Consider the following 22,758-nt stretch of genomic DNA (forward strand, 5'->3'; position numbering starts at 1 on the left):
AGGAGAGTCCCGACCGGAGATGCAGGTGGCAGCGGAGATGGCAAGAGTAAGAGAGTCCCGACCGGAGACGCAGGTGGCAGCGGAGATGGCGAGAATAGGAGAGTCCGACCGGAGATGCAGGTGGCAGCGGAGATGGCAAGAGTAAGAGAGTCCCAACTGGAGATGCAGGTGGCAGCGGAGATGGCGAGAGTAAGAGAGTCCCGACCGGAGACGCAGGTGGCAGCGGAGATGGCGAGAATAGGAGAGTCCGACCGGAGATGCAGGTGGCAGTGGAGATGGCGAGAGTAAGAGAGTCCCGACCGGAGATGCAGGTGGCAGTGGAGATGGCGCGAGTAAGGGAGTCTGACTGGAGATGCAGGTGGCAGCGGAGATGGCCGGAATAGAGCACTCGTTTGGAGGAAAAGCGGACAGGTCGACAGGATGGATGTGATGGGGGCCCCGAAGGAGAGGATGCTGTAGAGACTGACATGGCACCTCTGGTGATCCCGTCGCTCAGGAAATGCTCGTTGTTTTCCAGCTGTGTTGCTCAGAAGCTCTTGGGACAGTTTTTGGTGCATTATGAGCACTCAGAGATGTGGTGCTATTGCTGGGTACCTGCTGTCTGCAGAGCATTTATTCTTACCAAGTATTTATTGAGAGCCTGCTACAATGCCAGGCACTTCCCAGGATTCTGGGACTATGGCAGGGAAAAAACAACTCCGTGTTCACATGGAGCTTGCATTCTAGTGGACAGAGATCAAAAAGAAAAACATAGTTTAGTGGGATGTTAGAAGATGATAAACACAACAGAGAAATATCATTCTAGTGGATAGAGATCGAAAATAAACACGAAATTTGGTGAGATGTTAGAAGATGATAAACACAACAGAGAGATATTAAGGGGGGAAGGTGATTGGGTAAATGAGGGTATAGGTGTTCAATTTTAAGTAGAATGATCAGGGCCGGCCCTTCTGTGAAGGCAGCAGTTGAGCAAGGACCTGGAGCTAGTGAGGCAGTGGCCACGTAGAAGTTAGTGGGGAGGGCGTCTTGGCAGAGGGAGTGGTAAGTGCAGAGGCCTTTGTCGGGGAGGATGACTGCTGCACGGAAGAAACAGCAGGAGGCGCATGTGGCTTTAGGACAGCAATCCTGGGTGGAAAGGCAGTAGGGGGTTAGGTTGGGGGGAATGAAGGTGGGGGACAGGTGGAGTAGGGCCTTTCCTAGAGCTTTATAAAGACTGTGGCTCTTACTAGAATGCTAAACACTGAGTATCCTTGAGTAGCTCAGGCCTTTGTAATGCAGAGTGGTGAATGGTGTGAGGGGTGAACAGCTTCGGAGAGGTCAGGCATGGAATGCAGGGGTGATGCTTGGCTCAGGTCTTGCTAGGCTGATGGGATGTGGGGGATGGTCTGGAAAGGGTGGGCAGTCCCGTGTGCCACGCTGCAGAGAGGCATGAGCAGCAGCAGGACACATGTGATACATTGAGGGTGACTCCTAGCGTGGGTAGGGCCTAGTGGGGCACGGGAATGTGGCTGGAGACCAAGGTGGGAGAGGCAGCCAAAACCAGATGGTAGGACCTCCTGTCTAGGATGTGGGCTGTTTAAGTATTTTAAGCAGGGGAATGACACTCAATTTTTAAAAATTTTTTTGAGATGGAATCTCTCTCGTCACCCAGGCTGGAGTGCAGTGGTATGATCTCAGCTCACTGCAACCTCCACCTCCTGGGTTCAAGCGATTCTCCTGCCTCAGCCTCTCGAGTAGCTGGGATTATGAGTGCTGCCACCACGCCTGGCTAATTTTTGTATTTTTAGTAGAGATGGGGTTTCACCACATTGGGCAGGCTGGTCTTGAATGCCTGACCTCAGGTGATCCGCCCGCCTCGGCCTCTCAAAGTGCTGGGATTACAGGCATGAGCTAATGCATCCAGCCTCACTTTCTGTTTTGCTGGTAGAATAGTCATTTTGAGGCCAGGCATGGTGGCTGAGGTCTGTAATCCCAGCACTTTGGGAGGCCAAAACTGGAGGATCTCTTGAGTTCAGGAGTTCAAGACCAGTGTGGGCAACTTAGTGAGACCTTATCTCTACAAAAAATAAGAACAGAAAAGGAAAAGAATGGTCATTTTGGATATAGAGGATGGGTTTTAGGTGAGGCTTAGAGGCAGGAAAGCCAGTTAGGAAAAGATGGATTGCTTTGGTCCAGAGGAGACGGCGAGGATCTGGAGTGGAAAGGTAGGAGTGACATGTGGAGGTTTAGAAAACAGAATCAACAGAGGCATGCATGCTAAACATTCTTCATTCGTGACAGCTTTGAGTCTGCATCAGAAATGCCACTTAGCCGGAATGGTGGAGTGAGGCCTCTGTAATCCAATCCTCCATAAAAGCAGTGAAAACACTGGCAAAAATGGTCAAAATCAACTGTCAGAACGCGAAATTAACCAACGGTTGCGACACTCTGAGGAGCTTTTATCTGTGAACAACTGTGGCACCTCTAACTCAACCTCCTCCCATTCTCTTCTCCCCAGCTCCGTGGTAACCATGGAAACCAGCTGCCTTATAACCATGGTAGCTGGGAAAGCCAGCAGCCTAGCAGCTACTGGAGGGGACACATGAAGGCTGGAGCTCCTCAGCAAGTCCCGGCTGCAGAGCATGTCACTCTCGGACCTGTCCCACTTACTGAGCTTGCCATCGTATGAGCTAGCTCAGTGTGAAAACCCTGTTTCTGAAAGAGAGACTGTCAGTTGAGAATTCTGTGTCCAGTAAAACTGTCCTTTGAAAATAGAGGAATTGGCTGGGTGTGGTGGCTCATGCCTGTAATCCCAGCACTTTGGGAGGCCAAGGTGGGTGGATCATCTGAGGTCGGGAGTTCGAGACCAGTCTGGCCAACATGGTGAAACCCCGTCTCTACTAAAAATACAAAAATTAGCCAGGCGTGTTGGCGAACGCCTGTAATTTAGCTACTCAGGAGGCTGAGTCACGAGAATTGCTTGAACCTGGGAGGCGGAGGTTGCAGTGAGCCAAGATTGTGCCACTGCACTCCAGCCTGGGTGAACAGAGCAAGATCCTGTCTCAAAAAAAAAGAAATTAAGATATTTCCAGGTAAACAATAAACAGAGGACATTTGTTGTTTTAGCCAACCTCCCTTATAATACATACTGAAAGGAATGTCTCAGGCTGGAATGAAAGGACACTAGGTGGTAGGATACGTGAAGAAATAAAAGAACAACGGTGAAGACAGCTACATATGTCAAGTTAAAAGACAATGTAAGTGCACTTTTGTAACTTTTAGTCTCCTGTCTTTTTTTCTTTTCTTTTTTTTTTTTTTTTTGAGACGGAGTCTCCCTCTGTCGCCAAGGCTAGAGTGCGGTGGCGCCGATCTCGGCTCACTGCAGCCCCCACCTCCCGGACTCAGGTGATTCTCCTGCCTTAGCCTTTTGAGTAGCTGGGATTACAGACTCCCGCCACCAGGCCCAGCTAATTTTTGTATTTTTAGTAGAGACAGGGTTTTGCCATGTTGGTCAGGCTGGTCTCGAACTCCTGACCTCAGGTAATCCACCTGCCTTGGCTTCCCAAAGAGCTGAGATTGCAGGCGTGAGCCATTACGCTTGGCCCCTATCTGCCTTAAAAGACAACTGTACAAAGTAATAATTATAAAGCTGTTTTGATAGGCTTATAACATATAAAGGTGTGATTTGACAGTTACAGCACAAAAGAGAAGTGAGGGAAGAGCTTTATAGGAGCAACATTTCTCCGTACCATTAGAATTAGGTTTGTGTTAATCAAAACTGGATTGTTTTAAGTTAAGGTGCTAGTTGGCTGGGCGCGGTGGCTCACACCTCTAATCCCAGCGCTTTGGGAGGCCGAGGTGGGCGGATCACTTGAGGTTGGGAGTTCGAGACCAGCCTGGTCAACATGGCAAAACCCCATCTCTACTAAAAATACAAAAATTAGTTGGGCATGGTGGCGTACTTGGAGACAGGCCAGATGTAGTGGCTCACGCCGCCTGTAATCCCAGCGCTTTTGGGAGACCAAGGTGGGAGGGTTTCTTAAAGCCAGGAGTTCGAGAGCCTGGGCAACAAAAGTGAGACCCCCGTCTCTACAAAAAAAAATTAGCCAGGCCCAGAGATGTGCCCTTATAGTCCCAGTTACTTGGGAGACTGAGACAGGAGGATTGTTTAGCCTGGGAGTTTGAGGTGCAATGAACTATGATCACGCCCCTGCACTTCAGCCTGGGTGACAAAGCAAGACATTGTCTCTTAAAAAAACTTGGAGATAAATGCAAATAAAAACACAGCATTCCAAAAATTATACACTGCAGTGAGAGCAGGGCTGAGGGGGAAGTTTATAACTGTAAATACCTACATTAAAAAAGATCTCAAATCATTAACCTGTGTTTCACCTTAAGACACCAGAAAAAGCACGAACAAAACCTAAAACAAGAAGGAAGAAAATAGCAAAGATGAGAGCAAAGATTGGTTATTTGAAAAGATCATCAAAATTGGCAAACTTAGTGAGACTGACTGAGATAAAAAGAAGACTCAGATTGCTAAAAGCAGGAATGAGAGGGGAGATTATTATTCACCTTACAGAAATAAAAAGGATTATAAGAGAATTCCATGAATAATTGTGTAACAAAATATTAGATAACTTAGTTGAAATGGACAAATTCCTAGAAAGTCGTGACCGAAGCTAACTCAAGAAGAAATAGAAAATCTGAATAGTTGCTCACTTTGGCAACACATATACTAAAATTGGAACAATACAGAGATTAGCATGGCCCTTGTGTGAGAATGACACACAAATTTGTGAAGCATTCCATAAAAGAAAACCTAAATAGACTTATAATAAGTAAATAGATTGAATTAATAATTTAAAAACTTGTCACGGCCGGGTGCAGTGGCTCATGCCTGTAATCCCAGCACTTTGGGAGTCTGAGGCACTCGGATCACTTGAGGTCAGGAGTTCTAGACCAGTCTGGCCAATTTGGTGAAACCCCGTCTCTACAAAAAATATAAAAATTACCCAAGTGTGGTGGTGCACACTGGTAATCCCAGCTACTTGGGAGGCTGAGGCAGGAGAATCTCTTGAACCCAGGAGGTAGAGGTTGCAGTGAGCCAAGATCGCACCATTGCATTCAAACCTGGGCAACGAGCGAAACTCCATCTCAAAGGAAAACCCAAAAACTGAAAAACAAGATCTTGTCACAAGAATAAGCTCTGGGCCAGGTGGCTTCTCTAGAAAAGTCACACTTACTGAGCTTGTCATTATTTGAGTTCTACCAAACACTTAAAGAATTAATACCAGTCCTGGCCGGGTGCAGTGGCTCATGCCTGTAATCCCAGCACTTTGGGAGGCTGAGGTGGGTGATCATTTGAGGTCAGGAGTTCAAGACCAGCCTGGCCAACATCTCTACTAAAAATGCAAAAATTGGATGAGTGTGGTGGCACGCACCTTTAGTCCCAGCCACTTGGGAGGCTGAGGCAGGAGAATCGCTTGAAACCGAGAGGCGGAGGTTGCAGTGAGCCGAGATCATGTCACTGCACTCCAGCCTGGGCGACAGAGAGAGACTCTGTCTCAAGAAAAGAATTAATACCAGTCCTTTACAAACTCTTTGGAAAAGTAGGAGGGCATACTTAACTCATTCTATAAGGCCAGTATTATGCTGATACCAAAACTAGACAAAGACATGACAAGAAAGGAAAATTACAGGCCATTATCATGAATATAGAAACAAGAATCTTCAACCAAATGCTAGCCAGTTGAATCCAGCAACAACGTATAAAAAGGATTATACAGGCCGGGAGTGGTGGCTCACACCTGTAATCCCAGCACTTTCGGAGGCCGAGGCGGGTGGATCACGAAGTCAGGAGATGGAGACCAGCCTGGCCAACATGGTGAAACCCCATCTCTACTAAAAATACAAAAATTAGCTGGGTGTGGTGGCATGTGCCTATAGTCCCAGCTACTCAGGAGGCTGAGGCAGGAGAAGTGCTAGAACCCGGGAGGCGGTGTTGGCAGTGAGCCGAGATCACGCCACTGCACTCCAGCCTGGGTGACAGAGAGAGACTCTGTCTCAAAAAAGAAAAAAAAAAAAACAGGTTTATACACCAGATTCGAGTGAGAATTGTCCCAGGAATGCAAGGTTGGCTTAACATCTGAAAATCAATCCATGTAATACTTCATATTAATACCATAAAGGATGAAAAAATGCCTGGTCATCTCCATAGATGCAAAAAAGAACAGGATTGGAGGATTCACATGCTGATTCCAAAACTTAATACACAAATGATTAAGATAGTATAATACTGGTATAAGGACAGATACGTAGATACTGAGATAATAATATTGAGAGTACAGAAGTAAACCTTTACATTTGTGGTGAATTGATTTTCAGCAGGAGTGCCAAGATAATTCAATGGTGGGGGAAAAGAATAGTCTTAAACAAATGGTGCTGGGATGACTGAATCTCCATGTAAAAGTATGTAAATGGACTCCTACCTTACACTATGCACAAGAAATAACTCCATGGATCATAAACCCAACTGTAAGAGCTAAAACTATGAGACTCCTACCAAAAAAACAGGAGTAAGTTTCTGTGACTTTGGAATATGGTTTTTTTTTTTTTTTTTTGACAGAGTTTCGCTCTGTCACCAGGCTGGAGTGCAGTGGCGTGATCTTGTTTCACTGCAATCTCCACCTCCCAGGTTCAAGAGATTCTTCTGCCTCAGCCTCCTGAGTAGCTGGGGCCACAGGCCTGCACCACCATGCCCAGCTAATTTTTGTGTTTTTTTGTAGAGATAGGGTTTTGCCGTGTTGGCCAAACGCCATTCGCTTGCCTCGGCTTCCCAAAGTGCTGGGATTACAGGTGTGAGCCACTGTGCCCGGTCTGGAATATGATTTCCTAGGTGACAACAAATGTGCAAATGACAAAAAAAAAGTTAATCTGGACTTCATAACGTGTGCTACAAAATACTATTTAGAAGGTGAAATGGCAACCTGAGAATGAGAGAAAATATTTGAAAACCGTGTACCTGATAAAGGGCTCGTTATTTAGAATATATAAAAAACTTCATGAAGACAACTAAATTAAAAAATTGATGAAGTGTTAGGGGCTGCGGGTGTGGTGGCCATACCTGTAATCCCAGCATTTTGGGAGGCTGAGGTAGGTGGATCACCCGAGGTCAGGAGTTCAAGACCAGCCTAGCCAACATGGTGAAACCCCGTCTGTACTAAAATACAAAAATTAACTGGGTGTGGTGGTGTGCACCTGTAATCCCAGCTTCTTGGGAGGCTGAGGCACAAGAATCACTTGAACCTGGGAAGCGGATGTTGCAGTGAGCCGAGGTCATGTCACTGTACTCCAGCCTGGGTGACAGAGTGAGACTGCATCTCAAAAAAAAAAAAAATTGATGAAGTATTAAAATATATATTTCTTCCAAATAGATTTACGAATGTTCAATAAGCATATAAAAGCTATCAGAAAAATGCATATCAAAATCACAATGAGATACTGCATCACACTTACCCAGATGGCTGTAATAAAAAAGATGAGGCCAGGCACTCCCAGCTGTAATTCCAGCACTTTGGGAGGCCGAGGTGGGTGGATCACCTGAGGTCAGGAGTTTGAGACCAGCCTGACCAATATGGTGAAACCCCACCTCTACTAAAAATACAAAAATTAGCTGGGCGTAGTGGCAGGCGCCTGTAATTCCAGCTACTTGGGAGGCTGAGGCAGGAGAATTGCTTGAACCTGGGAGGTGGAGGTTGCAGTGAGCCGAGATCGTGCCACCACACTCCAGCCTGGGTGACAGGGCGAGACTCCGTCTCAAAAAAAAAAAAAGAACGTGTGAGTTTATCCCTGGTGATGGGCACAGTAGCTTCTCGTGGCTGGACCAGTGCTTTGCTCCTTATTTCACACTTCTCATCACAGCTCTTTCATTGATGGCACACCCATTTGAAGAAGAGAAACCGAGGCAGGTTGCGGTTAAGTTGATAGCCCAGGGTCACGTAGCTAGTAAAACATGGAGTGACATTCCAGTCCAGGCCTGATTTCAGAGTTTGCTTGGCTGACTGCTGTGCTAACCACCTTAATAGTAATTTTAGCAATTATAGCTTCCTTCAAAAATTCTTGGGCTTGGTCAATTTTGGGCTTTTGGGTTACTCGGCGGAATCACTTTATTTCTTTGAGACAGAGTCTCACCTTGTTGCCTAGGCTGGAGTACAGCGATGTCTGTCCTGGCTCACTGGAGTGTTGACTTCCTGGGCTCAGGTGATTCCCCCCACCTCAGCCTCCCTAGTAGCTGGGACCACAGGCATGCACCACCACACCTAATTTTTTAAAAAATTATTTATGGAGACCAGGTCTCCCTATGTTGCCTAGGCTGGTCTCGAGCTCCTGGACTCAAAACAGCCCTCCCACTTCAGCCTCCCAAGGTGCTGGGATTATAGGCGTGAGCCACTGCCCAGTCTGAAATCACTTTATATACAGACTAAAACTCTGTAGACCAAGTTTTGCTGCACATTGCAAGGACAGAAGATTTTGGTACTTTGGTATTTTATAATCATCTGTCATAGGCTCCTTTACTATTTTTTGTGGAACTTGGGCTGTTCCCAGAATACTAATCCTCTCTGTTGATTAGTTCAGCCTGTAAACAAGAAATCATTAACCAGCATGCTGTTCCTGAAGAATGACCAGGGACAATAATTGTAAAAATTCAAGAGCTTTTATCCAAGCCTGCCCCTATAGAGTGTGTTCTTTGCTACTTCATGGAATGCAAATTGTAACTTGCTTTTGCCAGTAGCTATGGCATGTCCAGGTTACTCATTAGCCACCAGAGCTCCTAAGTTCACTGCGAGAATTCCCTGATGCAAGTACAGTACCCTTAGTGCTGATGGGCTGGCTGCATTTCAGACAGGAATAGTGCAGGATGACTGTGGCCAGCGTCTCTTTAACAAAGATCAGACTGTGTGTGGGGCTGGGCTTGTTGCTGTGGGTCAGTTACTCTTTAACAAAGATCAGACTCTGTGTGGCTGGGCTTGTTGCTGTGGGTCAGTTACTCTTGCTCATGCTTTACCCTTTCAGAATTCAGCTCCTCCCCGCTTCTCCTCAAGCTAATTTATCTAAAAAGATAAGATTTTTTTGCTAGATCTGTTCCCGGCACGGTGGGGTGGTTGAAGTCCTCCTGTGAGGCCCTCTGCCTTATGGAGATCAGTGCAGTGTCAGTGGCACGAATTGGTGCCTGGCCAGGAGCACGCTCTGCTCCTTTACAGGAGAGCCCCTGACAGGCACTGGAGGGCTCAGATTGTTACCTGCGTCCGTCATGACTGCAGGGGTGCTGCGTTGATCATGCAGCTTCTACTAGAGCGTTTTTGGTAAATTTGGGACATGGTAGTTGACTTGAATGTGTCAGTCTTGCCTGCAGGTCATCATCCGTCATCTCAGCCATGGTCGTGCTGGATTGTCTTTCTTGTTTTTGAGACAGCCTCTCTCTCTGTCACCCAGTCGCCCAGTCTGGAGTGCAGTGGTGTGATCTCGGCTCACTGCAACCTCTGCCTCTCGGGTTCAGGCAATTCTTCCACTTCAGCTTCCCCAGTAGCTGGGATTACAGGCGCACGCCACCATGCCCAGCTAATTTTTGTGTTTTTACTAGAGACAGGATTTCACCATGTTGCCCAGGCTGGTCTCAAACTCCTGACTTCAAGTGATCCACCTGCCTCAGTCTCCCAAAGTGCTGGGATTATAGGCGTGAGCCACTGCGCCTAGCCTGAATGCGTATTTTTATGTGAAATTAGTTTTCCTGAACTGTCAGAGGAGGCATGGTCTGGGTGGCTTTTCTACCGTAAGAGCCCCCCCCCCCCATTGTCTTCACACAGTGGCCTGCCTGGCAGCTGCAGTTGGAAGTCCCTGGCTCCGTCCTGGCTCCGTCTGCCTCCGTCTGCCTCCGTCTGCCTGCTGTCCCTGCACCTCCCCTTTTTCCTGCTTTTGCGTCGTCTCTGCTCAGTAGGGGCGCTGGGCCAGGTCACTCCATCCCTGGTTCTTGCATCATGCTCAGCCCTCTGTGGATACTGGGGCTGCTTAGGCTCTCCTGTCCTCAGGTCTGGCCGAGACGTGACACTACTCTTCTCTCTACCTTCTCTCTTTTTTTTTTTTTTTGAGATGGAGTCTTGCTCTGTTGCCCAGGCTGTAGTGCAATGGCGCGATCTCGGCTCACTGCAACCTCCGCCTCCTGGGTTCAAGCGATTCTTCTGCCTCAACTTCCTGAGTAGCTGGGATTGCAGGCGCCTGCCACCATGCCTGGCTAATTTTTGTATTTTTAGTAGAGACGAGGTTTCACCATGCTGGCCAGGCTGGTCTTGAACTCCTGACCTCAGGTGATCCGCCCGCCTCAGCCTCCCAAAGTGCAGACGTGAGTCACTGTGCCTGGCCTCTCTACCTTCTCTTGCACAGACATGATGCCGTGAGGTTGTACGGCCGTTGGTGGCTTTCCTTTTGAGGGAGCTGGAGCTCAGAGGCACAGCAGAATGAGTCAAAGGCTGCACTTGGATTCCCACCTCACTTGGATTCCCACCTCACGTGCTGGCCCCAAAGTTCACTCTTGTCATCACCTTCCATGCTTCTCCCCCTCCTCAGGGGCTGGCCTGCCCTCGTTTTAAAGTGTGTGTGTATGCGTATATTTGTATTTATGCATGTGTGTGTACATGTGTGTATTTGTGTGTGTGTATGTATTTGTGTTTATGTGTATGTATGTATATGTGTATATATGTTGTATTTGTGTTTATATTTGTGTATATATGTTGTATTTGTGTTTGTGTACGTGTGTATTTCTGTGTATCTGTGTATTTGTATTTATGTGTGTTTGTAAATGTGTGTATATGTATATTTGTGTGTGGCGTGTACATTTGTGTATTTGTGTGTATTTGGTTTATGTGTGCTTGTACGTGTATTTGTGTGTATATATGTGTATTTGTGTTTGTATAAATGTGTATTCATGTGTGTTTGTAAATGTGTGCATGTGTGTATTTGGTGTGTGTGTGTGTGTATTTGTGTGTGTGTGTGTTGAAAATTGGGCAATTAAAAGCAAGCTGTGGATGGGAAGCTGGAACTTGTCTCTGTTTCTGTCCCACAGAGGAGGGGGGTTAACTGCCTGTTTCTCCTGGTGGTTACCTCTATAACTCTACATTATGTGCTGTTTGTTTTAGTTTGTGGTTTCACAACCTTATATAAAATCTGTAGATTCCGTTTAGGAAAGTTGATTTAGCTCATGTAGTAGTATTTCCTCTTTCTCCTGCCCCCAGGTTTTTAGTATTTCTGCTTTAGATCTGAGCTCTGTTGATTCTGGACAACATAAGTTCCCCCTCAGAGTGGTTTCTTTCCCTGGTGTTTGGGTGGGTAAAGTAGAGGGCACAAACCAGGGAGAGAGCGCAAGGTCCCCTGTTGCAGACTTAATAGCACAGATCTGTGTACACCTTTGTGAGAAGCACACATGTACACACACAGTGGCATGCACACATAGGCACACGCACACTGGCACACCGCACCCAGTGCAGAGTGCCTCACCCATGCGCAGTCCCAGCTGTGTGAAGCTGCCTGCAGGCTTTGTGTGGCAGAAGCTCCCAAGACACTGTTTTCGTGACTCTTTCAGCCAAGTCCAAAAAACCTGCCATCCTGGGGGGCATCAGGCTGCCAGCATCCTCCTGTACCTGCTGTCCTGCTTTCTTGTGGAGCCGTCCGCTGGTCAGCCATCATACAGAGAGGAGTGGGGATGCTGAGACGCTGGGCAGCCTGCCCAGGGGTCACTGCTGTGAGCAGCTTTCAGGGCTGGGAAGAGAGACTGACTGGGACAGGAGGTTTGGGTGTGTCTGTGTTTTGTTAAAGGTCCCCTGAGGGCAGAAGCTGTTGTGTTCCCAGCACCTGGGACAGTGCTTGGGTCGGGGAGCCGCCACATAGGCACTTGATTTTCCTGTTCTGACCACCTGTCCATCTGAAGTTTTCTAGGGTAGGACTGGCTCAAAGGAGTGTTTGTTCGGTTCAGGAAACATTCAACCTTATTTATTAGCAAATGTGTAGTAAAAGACAAAAGATATTCTGGAGGAGGGAGCTTGTCCTGTGGGGGAGGCAAGATCAGTTTTGGAAGCAGCAGTGGTGGAGTTCGGCCCTGTGACTGCGTAGGGCAGGGGTGAGCTCTTTGTCCTCTGATCTGTGCACACCAGGCCTGGCGGGGCCGCTTGTGTCGTGTTCTGATGTGGATGGGTTGCTGCAGAGGCCTTTTACTTCAGCTGGAGATCCTTAAACCAAAGACTCACTTGAGAAGGTTTTTTAAATAGTCAGCTTTATTATTGCTTTAAAAAAGTGACTTAGGGCCAGGTGCAGTGGCTCACACCTGTAATCCCAGCACTTTAGGAGGCCAAGGTGAGAGGATTGCTTGAGCTCAGGAGATCGAGACCAGCCCAAATACCGTAGTGAGAACTTGTCTCTATTTTTTCTTTTTTCTTTTTTTTTCTTTCTGGGGATGGAATCTTGCTCTGTCATCTCGCCTCACTGCAGCCTCTGCCTCCTGGGTTCAAGTGATTCGTCTGTCTCAGCCTCCCAAGTAGCTGGGATTACAGGCATGCGCCACCACGCCTGGCTAATTTTTGTATTTTTAGTAGAGACGGGGTTTCGCCACGTTGGCTAGGCTGGTCTCCAACTCCTGACCTCAGGCGACCCACCTGCCTCTGATGAGGCACCACCATGCCTGGCCATATTTTTAATTTTTTAAAAAATAGAATAAAAAGTGACTTAAATGTACACAAAGTTGTTTTTGCACACAACTCACCTTACCCTGTGTGATGAATAATTGTATTTTGACAGTGCTTGTTAAACATGTGTATCCCTATTAAAATCACTTGTACTCTTTAAGCCTCAGTTTTCACAGCTGGTCCAGGTAGAGTTAAACTACACGTGGTCTCATCTCTCTCCCTTGCCTGGCTTGTGACATACATGCAAGTGTTTGTTGAGCGAGGTCCCTTTAGCAATAGATTTAGCGTGTACTGAAAGTTTGATTGTCACACATCTAATGTGCGTTTTCCCTCTTTTGTACAATGGAGAATTCCCACATTTCATGGGTGTGAGCTGAAAAAAAGACTTGAAGCTAACATTCCTCTGCTGTCCCACTACAACACAGAAGACTTCTGTGACCCCAGAATATGTGGGGGTTTCTCCCCATCGGCAAACAAGCTATCAGTTCTGCAGCAGGCACCAGCGGGGTGTCCTCCAGCTTGATTCTGACACCGTCTACCTGGAGGTAGTGTCAGATCCTGCAGGGGAGTCCCAGGGCTACCCCCTACTTCTCATGTTAGCCTCAAGCCTCAGGTTGTGACCTGTGCTTGTGCATGACAGACTGTGAATGGACATCTCACGACCCCCTCTTTGGATTCAATTAGTTTGCTAGAGAGGCTCACAGAACTCAGGGAAACACATTTATTTGATCATAAAAGCTAGTATGAAGGGTGCAGGTGACGTGATGCGTAGGGCATGGTACCGGGCCATGGCCGCTCCATGTCCCTCCAGGGATCCCCATGTGTTCAGTTATCTGGACGTTCCCCAAACCCTGTCCTCCTGGGCCTTTTGTGCAGACTTCATTGGATAGGCATGATTGACAGCTGTGTACAAATGGGACTGGACCAAAAGGGTGTGATCTAAACCCAGCAGGGCCTGTCTGTGCAGATTCTTCCCGGCCTATCTGTGCGGCGTTCCTTCCCCCGGGGTGTGGGGCAGGGCCCCTTCAGAAATGTGGGTCTTGTGACCCACAGTCAGACAAGGTAGGTCAGAGAATTTATGGCCAGCTCCACGACAGAAAGGCTGGGGGTGGTTAGAGTCCCTTGTTAGTCTTATGGCCTGCCTTGGGGAAAAAATAACAAGAGCTGTGAGAGTTTTGAGCCAGGAACTGTAGATGAAAACCAGTATGTATGTATAATATCACAATTGGATATTATGCAAGTGGACTTGTCAGATTTTGTAGGAAAGCCCTCATGTTCCTACCAACAACTGTTTGCCCTGCAGCACAGACCTGCTCCCTGTATCGTAATCCCTCCTAGCTTCATCTGCTTTCCTTACACAGCACATGGTGATTAAATAGGTGTGCGACTGCTTGGTCAGTAACAGTCTTCTGCCAGACTGTGTCTTCCGTGAGGGTAACAGAGACCATGTCTGTTTTTGCTCATCCTTGTGCCTTGGTGCCCAGCACCATGTGTGGACAGTTGTAGGTGCTCAGTGGATATTTACGGAACAAATGCATCAGTCCGTCTTTAAGGTTCCCTCTAGCTGTGGACCGAGTTGCCTCCGTGGCTCCACCCCAGTTCATATGCTGAAGCCCCAACCCCAGTGTGACTGGATTTGGAGACAGGGCTTTCAGGAGGCATTTAAGGTTAAATGAAGTCATAGAGGTGGGGTCCTAATCCTGTAGGATTGGTGGCCTTGTAAGAGGAAGAGAGAGCGTGCTCGCTTCATAAGCATGCGTCAAAGAAAGGCCACGTGAGCACACAGAAGGTGGCTGTCTGCAAGCCAGGAAGAGAGCCCTCACCAGAAACCACCCTGCTGGTGTGTTGCTCACAGGCTTCCAGCCTGCAGGCCTGTGAGAAGATGAAGTGTTTCAGCCGCCCCGTCTGGGGTGTTTTGTCATGGCAGCCGGAGCAGACTAAGGGACCTGTAGCCCTGACATTCCATCATTTTATGACCATGAGGAATTACAGATCCTGGGCATTGCTTTCAAATGAGACACATGAAATTGAAATGTGTCAGTTCAGGTATTTTGATTGCCATTGGGGATGGATAAGCCAAAAAGAAAGACTATTTTAAATGACTAGATTTGACAACAGATAGGTTGTAATGTCTATCAACAGATAGACTGAATAGATCAGTCTTTCCTGCTTTGGACAGAAGCTAGCCTTTGGGGCTGTTGGTGGGAGCACTCCTAATATTATTAATGATATTAGTACCTAACCATATTTGCTGAGGACTTCTCTTGTAGGAGTGCTAATCCCATCATGAGGGCCCACCTCATGACCCCATCTAAACCCAGCCACCTTCCAAAGGTTCCATCTTCAGATACTATGACATTGGGGTTAGGGCTTCAGCATGCGAATTTTGAGGGGACAGAAACATTCAGTCCATACGGCAGGGGAGGCAGGCTGATTTCAACGGGCACATCTGAGCTGAGTCTTGAAGGATGCGTGTTGCAGAGGCTGCATCTGTTTTGCGACTGCAGTTGATCGAGGAAGAAACTGTGGAGGTGAATTTATAAAAGAAAATTGAAAGCCTATAGTAGTAAAACTGTGTGCTTTTGGCAGTGGAAGTTGATTTTAGGAGTAAACCTCCGTGTTATTAGCGGATGACGATTTATCATGGCAAACATCCAGCAAGATATTTGAGTTCTGAGCTTGGTAAAGAGGTAGAGTTAGAAATGGTGCTGTGGAGCACCCCCTGGGTGCGCAGCGGCTGGCCCGGGCGGTTCAGGACTCGCTCCTTTGCTGTCCTGACCCAGGCACTCCCTTTCCCCTAGGCTCAGTCCCGGCCCCGGCCCTGCTGCAGCCCCTTCCTGCCGGCTCTGGGTTGGAGGCAGGTGTCTGCTTCGGCTTTTCTCCTGCCTTGAAACGGGGCCTCATCCCATTCGTGAGTTCTGAGTGTCAGTCTTATCAGGGAAATGGTGTTTCTTTAGAAATCAATTAAAATAAAAATGGCTTTTTGTTCTTTTTTTTAGGTAAAAGTAAAGAAGCAGAAATAAAAAGGATAAACAAGGAACTGGCAAATATCAGATCAAAATTTAAAGGTAAGTATGTTTAACCTTTTCCATGAAATGTCCTGTTGTAAATTTTCTGTAGTAAGAACCCAGTCTTTTAATACTGTCTTCTTTTCTCCCACACTAAAGTGAAGTTCTCAGTTTGTACAGTTTCTATCAGGGCCCTGTCAGAATTAGGAAATGGCATGTGTGGAGCTGGTTAGGTGGGGCAGCCCCTCCTGGTGTCTGGTCTTTTCCTGGAGCTGGAACAGCACTGGTCTAGTGCCCAGCTGCATGTCGCAGTATTAGCCACCAGGCCAGCGTGCTGGGGGTTCAGAGGACAGACACCAAGTACGGGAAGTGCTCTGTGTAAGGCGCCACCGAACGCCTCCTGCTGACGGTCAACAGGGACCTGACCTGCGCTCGGTGGACTGCCTCTCTGTGAGCCAGTGTGTGGGCTGAGTGCCTTCCCTGAACATCCTTACTTTGAAGAATTGTGAAGTACGGATTTAGTTTTCAGCCCTTGGGACATTTTTGAAACCCCAGTTAATCCTTAAAGCCTTAATTTTTCAGTTAATGTTTACAGATTTGCAACCTGGCTCACCTCCCTGAGCATACCTTAGCCACGGTGTAGCTGAAATTGCCCAGGCACAATGAGTCGGGGAGAGGGCTGAGCCTGACCCCTGTGGAACTGGAGGGACAGGCAGAACACAGCTTGGGGACAACTGGAGTTTCATGGGATGGGTGCTTTTGAGGGCTTGAGAATGGATATCCAGTAGTTTCTTTTCTTTTCTTTTTTTTTTTTTGAGATGGAGTCTTGCTCTGTCGCTCAGTGTGGAGTGCAGTGGCACGATCTTGGCTCACCGCAACCTCCGCCTTCCAGGTTCAAGCGGTTCTCCTGCCTCAGCCTCCCGAGTAGCTGGGATTACAGGCGTGTGCCACCACATGCCTGTAATTTTATTTAGTAGAGACGAGATTTCTCCATGTTGGCCAGGCTGGTCTCAAACTCCTGGCCTCAAGTGATCTGCCCGCCTCGGCCTCCCAAAGTGCTGGGATTACAGGCATGAGCCACTGTGCCCGGCCCAGCTGATTTTTGTACTTTTAGTAGAGACGGGGTTTCTCCATGTTGGTCAGGCCGGTCTCGAACTCCCGACCTCAAGTGATCCACCTGCCTCAGCCTCCCAACATGCTGGGATTACAGGCGTGAGCCACTGTGCCTGGCCTGGCTGATTTTTGTACTTCTAGTAGAGATGGGGTTTCTCCATGTTGGTCAGGCTGGTCTTGAGCTCCCGACCTCAAGTGATCCACCTGCCTCAGCCTCCCAACATGCTGGGATTACAGGCGTGAGCCACTGCACCCCACACGGCTGGTTTTTGTATTTTTAGTAGAGACGGGGGTTTCTCCATGTTGGTCAGGCTGGTCTCGAACTCCCAACCTCAGGTGATCCACCTGCTTTGGCCTCCCAGAGTGCTGGAATTACAGGCGTGAGCCTCTGCGCCCGGTGTGCACCTTTGTTCTTAACTGTAGAATGGGGAAACCAGTGATCTCAAGTTGGGTTCTCCAGGATGTGGACTCTGAAATGGGCTGTGTACAGAAGATTTATTCAGAGTGACACCAGTGAAAAGTAAAGGGCAGAAGCAGATGGAGATGTGGGTCTGACAGTCACCACCACCAGTGAAAAGTAAAGGGCAGAAGCAGATGGAGATGTGGGTCTGACAGCCGCCGCCACCAGTGAAAAGTAAAGGGCAGAAGCAGATGGAGATGTGGGTCTGACAGTCACCACCACCAGTGAAAAGTAAAGGGCAGAAGCAGATGATGTGGGTCTGACAGTCGCCGCCACCAGTGAAAAGTAAAGGGCAGAAGCAGATGGAGATGTGGGTCTGACAGAGTCGCCACCACCAGTGAAAAGTAAAGGGCAGAAGCAGATGGAGATGTGGGTCTGACAGTCGCCACCACTAGTGAAAAGTAAAGGGCAGAAGCAGATGGAGATGTGGGTCTGACAGAGTCGCCACCACCAGTGAAAAGTAAATGGCAGAAGCAGATGGAGATGTGGGTCTGACAGTCGCCACCACCAGTGAAAAGTAAAGGGCAGAAGCAGATGGAGATGTGGGTCTGACAGAGTTGCCACCAGTGAAAAGTAAAGGGCAGAAGCAGATGGAGATGTGGGTCTGACAGAGTTGCCACCAGTGAAAAGTAAAGGGCGGAAGCAGATGGAGATGTGGGTCTGACAGTCGCCGCCACCAGTGAAAAGTAAAGGGCGGAAGCAGATGGAGATGTGGGTCTGATAGTCGCCGCCACCAGTGAAAAGTAAAGGGCGGAAGCAGATGGAGATGTGGGTCTGACAGAGTCGCCGCCACGAGTGAAAAGTAAAGGGCGGAAGCAGATGGAGATGTGGGTCTGACAGAGTCGCCGCCACCAGTGAAAAGTAAAGGGCGGAAGCAGATGGAGATGTGGGTCTGACAGAGTCGCCGCCACCAGTGAAAAGTAAAGGGCAGAAGCAGATGGAGATGTGGGTCTGACAGTCGCCACCACTAGTGAAAAGTAAAGGGCGGAAGCAGATGGAGATGTGGGTCTGACAGTCGCCGCCACCTGCCCATCAGGGAGCTCGGGAGCCCAGATTGCCGGCTGGAGGTGGTGGCACTGGGTTGAAAGGGCTGCGCCCTGGCACCCTCTTGCTCAGCCGTGGCTCTCAACCTGGGGGAGCCGGACCATGACAAAGCCAGCCTTACTCTTGGTGTCACTGGGCCTTCACTGAATGGGATCTGCGTCTGCTGTGCTCATTGTGAGGAAATGAGGAAATGCATAGAAATTGCTTGAAAGGAAACCAGCACCCAGCCAGTGTGAATCCATTTTGTTATTGTGAAAAGAGTTCATGGCCTTCAGAATGGTGAAGATGAAATTCGAATGGGAGGTTTTTATAGGTTTCAGAAGAATCATCTAATGTGTTGAGGTGTAACTTCAAAGACTTTGCTAGGCTGTTAAATTTACAAACTCTCTGGCCAGGCGTGGTGGCTCACGCCTGTAACCCAGCACTGTGGGAGGCTGAGGCGGGCGGATCGATTGAGGTCGGGAGTTCGAGACCAGCCTGGCCAACATGGTGAAACCCCATCTTTACTAAAAATAGAAAAATTAGCTGGGTGTGGAGGCGCGTGCCTATAGTCCCAGCTACTTGGGAGGCTGAGTCAGGAGAATCGCTTGAACTGGGAAGGCGGAGGTTGCAGTGAGCCGAGATCTCGCCATTGCACTCCAGCCTGGGAGACACAGCAAGACTCTGTCTCAAAAAAAAAAAAATTTTGTTTTATAAATTCTGTATAAATGTTTTGGGACTAAAGGAGACTTCATGCCTGTCTGGCTGTCCTAGATAGGGAAGGTGGCCCCTCCTACACAGTGATCTGTTGGCTTTTGTTGAGCACGCGCGTACCCTGGGTGGTGGCAGCAGACATAGAAGAAAATCTACTCCTTGTCCGTAAGAAATGTGCTGCCTGAGGCCTGCCCTGCCAGCTGTGGGTAGATGAGATGACTTAGAGCTGTGCTGTCCAATTTAGAAATAGAGTATCAGTCACATTCATAGGTCTAAAGGCTCTGGCAGCCTCATTGAAAAAAAGTAAAAAGGAGCAAATGAAATTAATAATATATTTTATTTAGTTCAGTATATCTAAAATTTCGTTGTAATCAATTGAAAAAAAAACTGGCTGGCACGATGGCTCATGCCTGTAATTCCAGCCCTTTGGGAGGCCGAGGTGGCTGGATCAGTTGAGGTCAGGAGTTTGAGACCAGCCTGACCAACATGGTGAAACCCCGTGTCTATTAAAGATACAAGAATTAGCTGGGCATGGTGGCGGGCACCTGTAATCCCAGCTACTCGGGAGGCTGAGGCAGGAGAATCGCTTGAACCTAGGAGGCAGAGGTTGCTGTGAGCCGAGATCGTGCCAGTGCACTACAGCCTGGGCGACAGAGTGAGACTCTGTCTCAGAAAAAAAAACTAAAAAAAAAACAAGGTACCGAGTTATTTTATACCAGGTCTTTGAAGTCTGGTGTGTGTGTCACACTTAAGAGTGAGTCTCACTTTGTACTGGCTGTTTCACTTGCTCACTGACCGCATGTGGCATGAGGCTGCTGTGTGAGCACTGCTGATTTAGAGCAACCCTTCTGTTGAAAACAGTTGATCAATTGATTGATCTATTGATTTACTGAGACAAGATCTTGCTCTGTTGACCAGGCTGCCCAGTGCAATCACAGCTCACCGCAGCCTCAACCCCCCGGGCTCAAGCCATCCTTCCACCTTGGCCTCCCAAGTAACTGGGACCACAGGCGCGCACCACCACGCCTGGCTAACATTTAAAAAAAGTTTTGTAGAGATGGGGTCTTGCCATGTTACCTAGGCTGGTTTCAAACTTATGGGCTCAAGAGATCGGTCTGCCTTGACCTCCCAAAGTGCTGGGATTATAGGCATGAGCCACTGCACCTGGCCCCTAGGAGTGTGGGTCCACTCGTGGGTGGAGGTGGGAGGCTGTTAAACAACCGAAGTGCATAGAGTGGCCCCCACAACAGAGGCGTCAGCCAGGATGTCAGTGGTGCCAGGGCTGAGGAGCCTTGTCTAGAGGGATGATAGTCAAAGACTGGAGACCCCCTTCCACTGTGAACTGAAGGCCTCACCAGAGGGAATACCCGTAGGGCAGAGTGAACTGTCAGTGAGCCAGTCCTCTTCCAGACTTGCCGCTGGGTGTCTTGACATGGGGGTGCTCTACACAACCTCAAAATGTTGGGAAGGTTACAACCAGGGAAAGAATCGATATCCAACAAAAATACCTTTCAACAATGAAGCTACCCTGTTTGAGTGGGGCATCACGAACCATCCTGCTTCAAGGGAGCCTGTGGGTCTGACTGCAGCTTCAGCTCTGACCTGGAGTTCTGGGGCTTCTCTGCGGGGCACCAGTCTGTAGGCTCCATTTTAGATAATAAAAATTGGCATATTCTGGGGTGGGCAGGATCTGGGGTTCACCTGCAGATGAACAGGGCAGAAAAAGCTTGATGGGGTGTTAGGGGAATCTGGTTGGCCTCAAAGGGAATTAATTTGGGGCCCTGTTCCTGAATTGGTAGGCAGCCTGCATGTAAGGCTGAAGTCGGTTTGGCCAGAGCATGGGCTGGAGTGCTACCACCCTGCTACATGGTCAATGCCACAGTCTCACTTTTCCTATTTTTTTTTAATAAAATGTTGTGAACAACAACAACAACAACAACAAAAATGAAGCTAAAAAATACCTGCCGAAGACAGAAATGGAAAGAATTTCCTACCAGAAGGCCTGTGTTAAAGGAAATGCCAAAGGAAATAATCCCAGATGGAAGCGTGGAAATGGAAAGCATGGAACGGGCAGGAAATTAAAGGAAATAATCCCAGATGGAAGCGTGGAGATGGAAAGCATGGAACGGGCGGGAAATTAAAGGAAATAATCCCAGATGGAAGCGTGGAGGTGGAAAGCATGGAACGGGCGGGAAATTAAAGGAAATAATCCCAGATGGAAGCGTGGAGGTGGAAAGCATGGAACGGGCGGGAAATTAAAGGAAATAATCCCAGATGGAAGCGTGGAGGTGGAAAGCATGGAACGGGCGGGAAATTAAAGGAAATAATCCCAGATGGAAGCGTGGAGGTGGAAAGCATGGAACGGGCGGGAAATTAAAGGAAATAATCCCAGATGGAAGCGTGGAGGTGGAAAGCATGGAACGGGCGGGAAATTAAAGGAAATAATCCCAGATGGAAGCGTGGAGGTGGAAAGCATGGAACGGGCGGGAAATTAAAGGAAATAATCCCAGATGGAAGCGTGGAGGTGGAAAGAATGGAATGGGCAGGACAGCGGGAGATGTGTAGGTAACGCCAGTGTGTTGTGTCTCGTGGTTATGTCTGTCTGTGGAGTTTCTTCAGTAGTGCAGTGAACTTCAGAGAGTTGAAACCGTATTTGTTTGCCATCAAGAAGACTGTAGGCCCAAATGGCTTCCCTGTGATCTTTATCCTTTAATGAGGGTTGTTAGGTGTGACCATCTGATGTGTGGCCTAAGGTGTGTGGAGAAAAGTGTTCATGTCAGTCCCAACTTTGGCTTTAAGGGAGTCTCCCCTCTGGGCTCTTCCTACCTCTGCTATGGTAAGGATGTGCTTTGGGTGGTGTGGGCCTGGAGCAGAGCCATGCACAGCAGGCCCGTCCAGATCTGACGGTGTCTTGACGGTGGCCCCGGCTGACCTGCAGACGCATGGGCAAGAAATCAGTGCTTATGTGCACCTGCCATGCTAGTGGGAGCCCAGGGGAGTTACTGGGATGTTCACAGGTGTGCCTTCCATCTTTAAGCCTTTAGAAAACAACTGTTGTGTTCTCATACTCTACAGAGACATGGTAGTTTCTTTCTTTTTTAAAGAGACAGGGTCTTGTTCTGTTGCCCAGGCTGGAGTGCTGTGGCATGATCCTAACTCACTGCAGCCTTGACTTCCTGGGCTCAGGTCATCCTCCTGCTTCCACCTCCCGAGTGGCTAGGGCTACAGGTGTGCACCACCACGCCCAGCAAATTGTAAAACTTGTAGAGATGGGGTCTCGCTGTGTTTCCTAGGCTGATCACAAATTCATGGCCTCAGGTGAACTCACCCACCTCAAGTGAATCCTCCCAAAAGTGCTGGGATTACAGGCGTAAGCCACTGCACCTGACTGGGAATTTCTTATGACTGATCATCTCCAGGAGTTTTCCAGGTTGTGCACATTAATTTGCTAAATAGGCCAGGCGCGGTGGCTCGTGCCTATAATCCTAGCACTTTGGGAGGCCGAGGCAGGCAGATCACTTAAGCTCAGGAGTTCAAGACCATCCTGGGCAACGTGGTGAAACCCTAAAAATCTCTACTAAAAGTACAAAAAATTAGCCGTGTGTGGTTGCACATGCCTGTGGTCCCAGCCACTTGGGAGGCTGAGGTGGGAGGATCACTTGAGCCTAGGAGGTTGAGGCTGCAGTGAGCTGTGGTCATGCCACTGCACTCCAGTCTGGGTGGCAGAGGG

At 48.4% G+C, this 22,758-nt stretch overlaps 1 protein-coding gene and 1 pseudogene across 12 annotated transcripts in view, besides 6 other annotated features; both read left to right on the plus strand.

Annotated features, from left to right (window-relative positions):
• Nucleotides 1-22,758, plus strand: part of AP2A2 (adaptor related protein complex 2 subunit alpha 2) — an 86,371-nt gene that overhangs the window by 17,858 nt on the left and 45,755 nt on the right. For 7 of the 12 annotated variants that reach the window (NR_144510.2, NR_144509.2, NM_001242837.2 and 4 more), the window contains exon 2: nt 15,710-15,778. Coding sequence is in view for 3 of the 12 variants with exons in the window: in NM_001242837.2 (NP_001229766.1) it covers nt 15,710-15,778 (69 nt within the window). In the remaining 9 variants the exon portion in view is untranslated. Of the gene's footprint in view, nt 1-261; nt 285-2,497; nt 3,237-13,058; nt 13,256-15,516; nt 15,622-15,709; nt 15,779-22,758 lie in introns of those variants that run through there. The other 5 variants (XM_047426480.1, XM_047426479.1, XM_047426485.1 and 2 more) reach the window with 5 other exon arrangements.
• Nucleotides 619-1,293: an enhancer, noted in NCBI's record as "OCT4-NANOG-H3K27ac-H3K4me1 hESC enhancer chr11:944346-945020 (GRCh37/hg19 assembly coordinates)". NCBI's record gives its function as "activates a minimal SCP1, AML or CMV promoter by ChIP-STARR-seq in naive and primed H9 embryonic stem cells {active_cell/tissue: H9 hESC(naive and primed)}" and the evidence as "EXISTENCE:reporter gene assay evidence [ECO:0000049][PMID:30033119]".
• Nucleotides 1,294-1,967: an enhancer, noted in NCBI's record as "OCT4-NANOG-H3K27ac-H3K4me1 hESC enhancer chr11:945021-945694 (GRCh37/hg19 assembly coordinates)". NCBI's record gives its function as "activates a minimal SCP1, AML or CMV promoter by ChIP-STARR-seq in primed H9 embryonic stem cells {active_cell/tissue: H9 hESC(primed)}" and the evidence as "EXISTENCE:reporter gene assay evidence [ECO:0000049][PMID:30033119]".
• Nucleotides 2,342-2,636: a silencer, noted in NCBI's record as "tiled region #620; HepG2 Repressive DNase unmatched - State 14:Gen5', and K562 Repressive non-DNase unmatched - State 15:Elon". NCBI's record gives its function as "represses a minimal TATA promoter and a strong SV40 promoter by Sharpr-MPRA in HepG2 and K562 cells {active_cell/tissue: HepG2 | K562}" and the evidence as "EXISTENCE:reporter gene assay evidence [ECO:0000049][PMID:27701403]".
• On the plus strand, nt 4,694-4,797 carry RNU6-1025P (RNA, U6 small nuclear 1025, pseudogene; annotated as a pseudogene).
• Nucleotides 10,256-10,864: an enhancer, noted in NCBI's record as "H3K27ac-H3K4me1 hESC enhancer chr11:953983-954591 (GRCh37/hg19 assembly coordinates)". NCBI's record gives its function as "activates a minimal SCP1, AML or CMV promoter by ChIP-STARR-seq in naive H9 embryonic stem cells {active_cell/tissue: H9 hESC(naive)}" and the evidence as "EXISTENCE:reporter gene assay evidence [ECO:0000049][PMID:30033119]".
• Nucleotides 10,972-11,635: an enhancer, noted in NCBI's record as "H3K4me1 hESC enhancer chr11:954699-955362 (GRCh37/hg19 assembly coordinates)". NCBI's record gives its function as "activates a minimal SCP1, AML or CMV promoter by ChIP-STARR-seq in naive H9 embryonic stem cells {active_cell/tissue: H9 hESC(naive)}" and the evidence as "EXISTENCE:reporter gene assay evidence [ECO:0000049][PMID:30033119]".
• Nucleotides 11,636-12,297: an enhancer, noted in NCBI's record as "H3K4me1 hESC enhancer chr11:955363-956024 (GRCh37/hg19 assembly coordinates)". NCBI's record gives its function as "activates a minimal SCP1, AML or CMV promoter by ChIP-STARR-seq in primed H9 embryonic stem cells {active_cell/tissue: H9 hESC(primed)}" and the evidence as "EXISTENCE:reporter gene assay evidence [ECO:0000049][PMID:30033119]".

This window comes from Homo sapiens, chromosome 11 (assembly GCF_000001405.40).
Source record: "Homo sapiens chromosome 11, GRCh38.p14 Primary Assembly".
Lineage (NCBI taxonomy): Eukaryota > Metazoa > Chordata > Mammalia > Primates > Hominidae > Homo > Homo sapiens.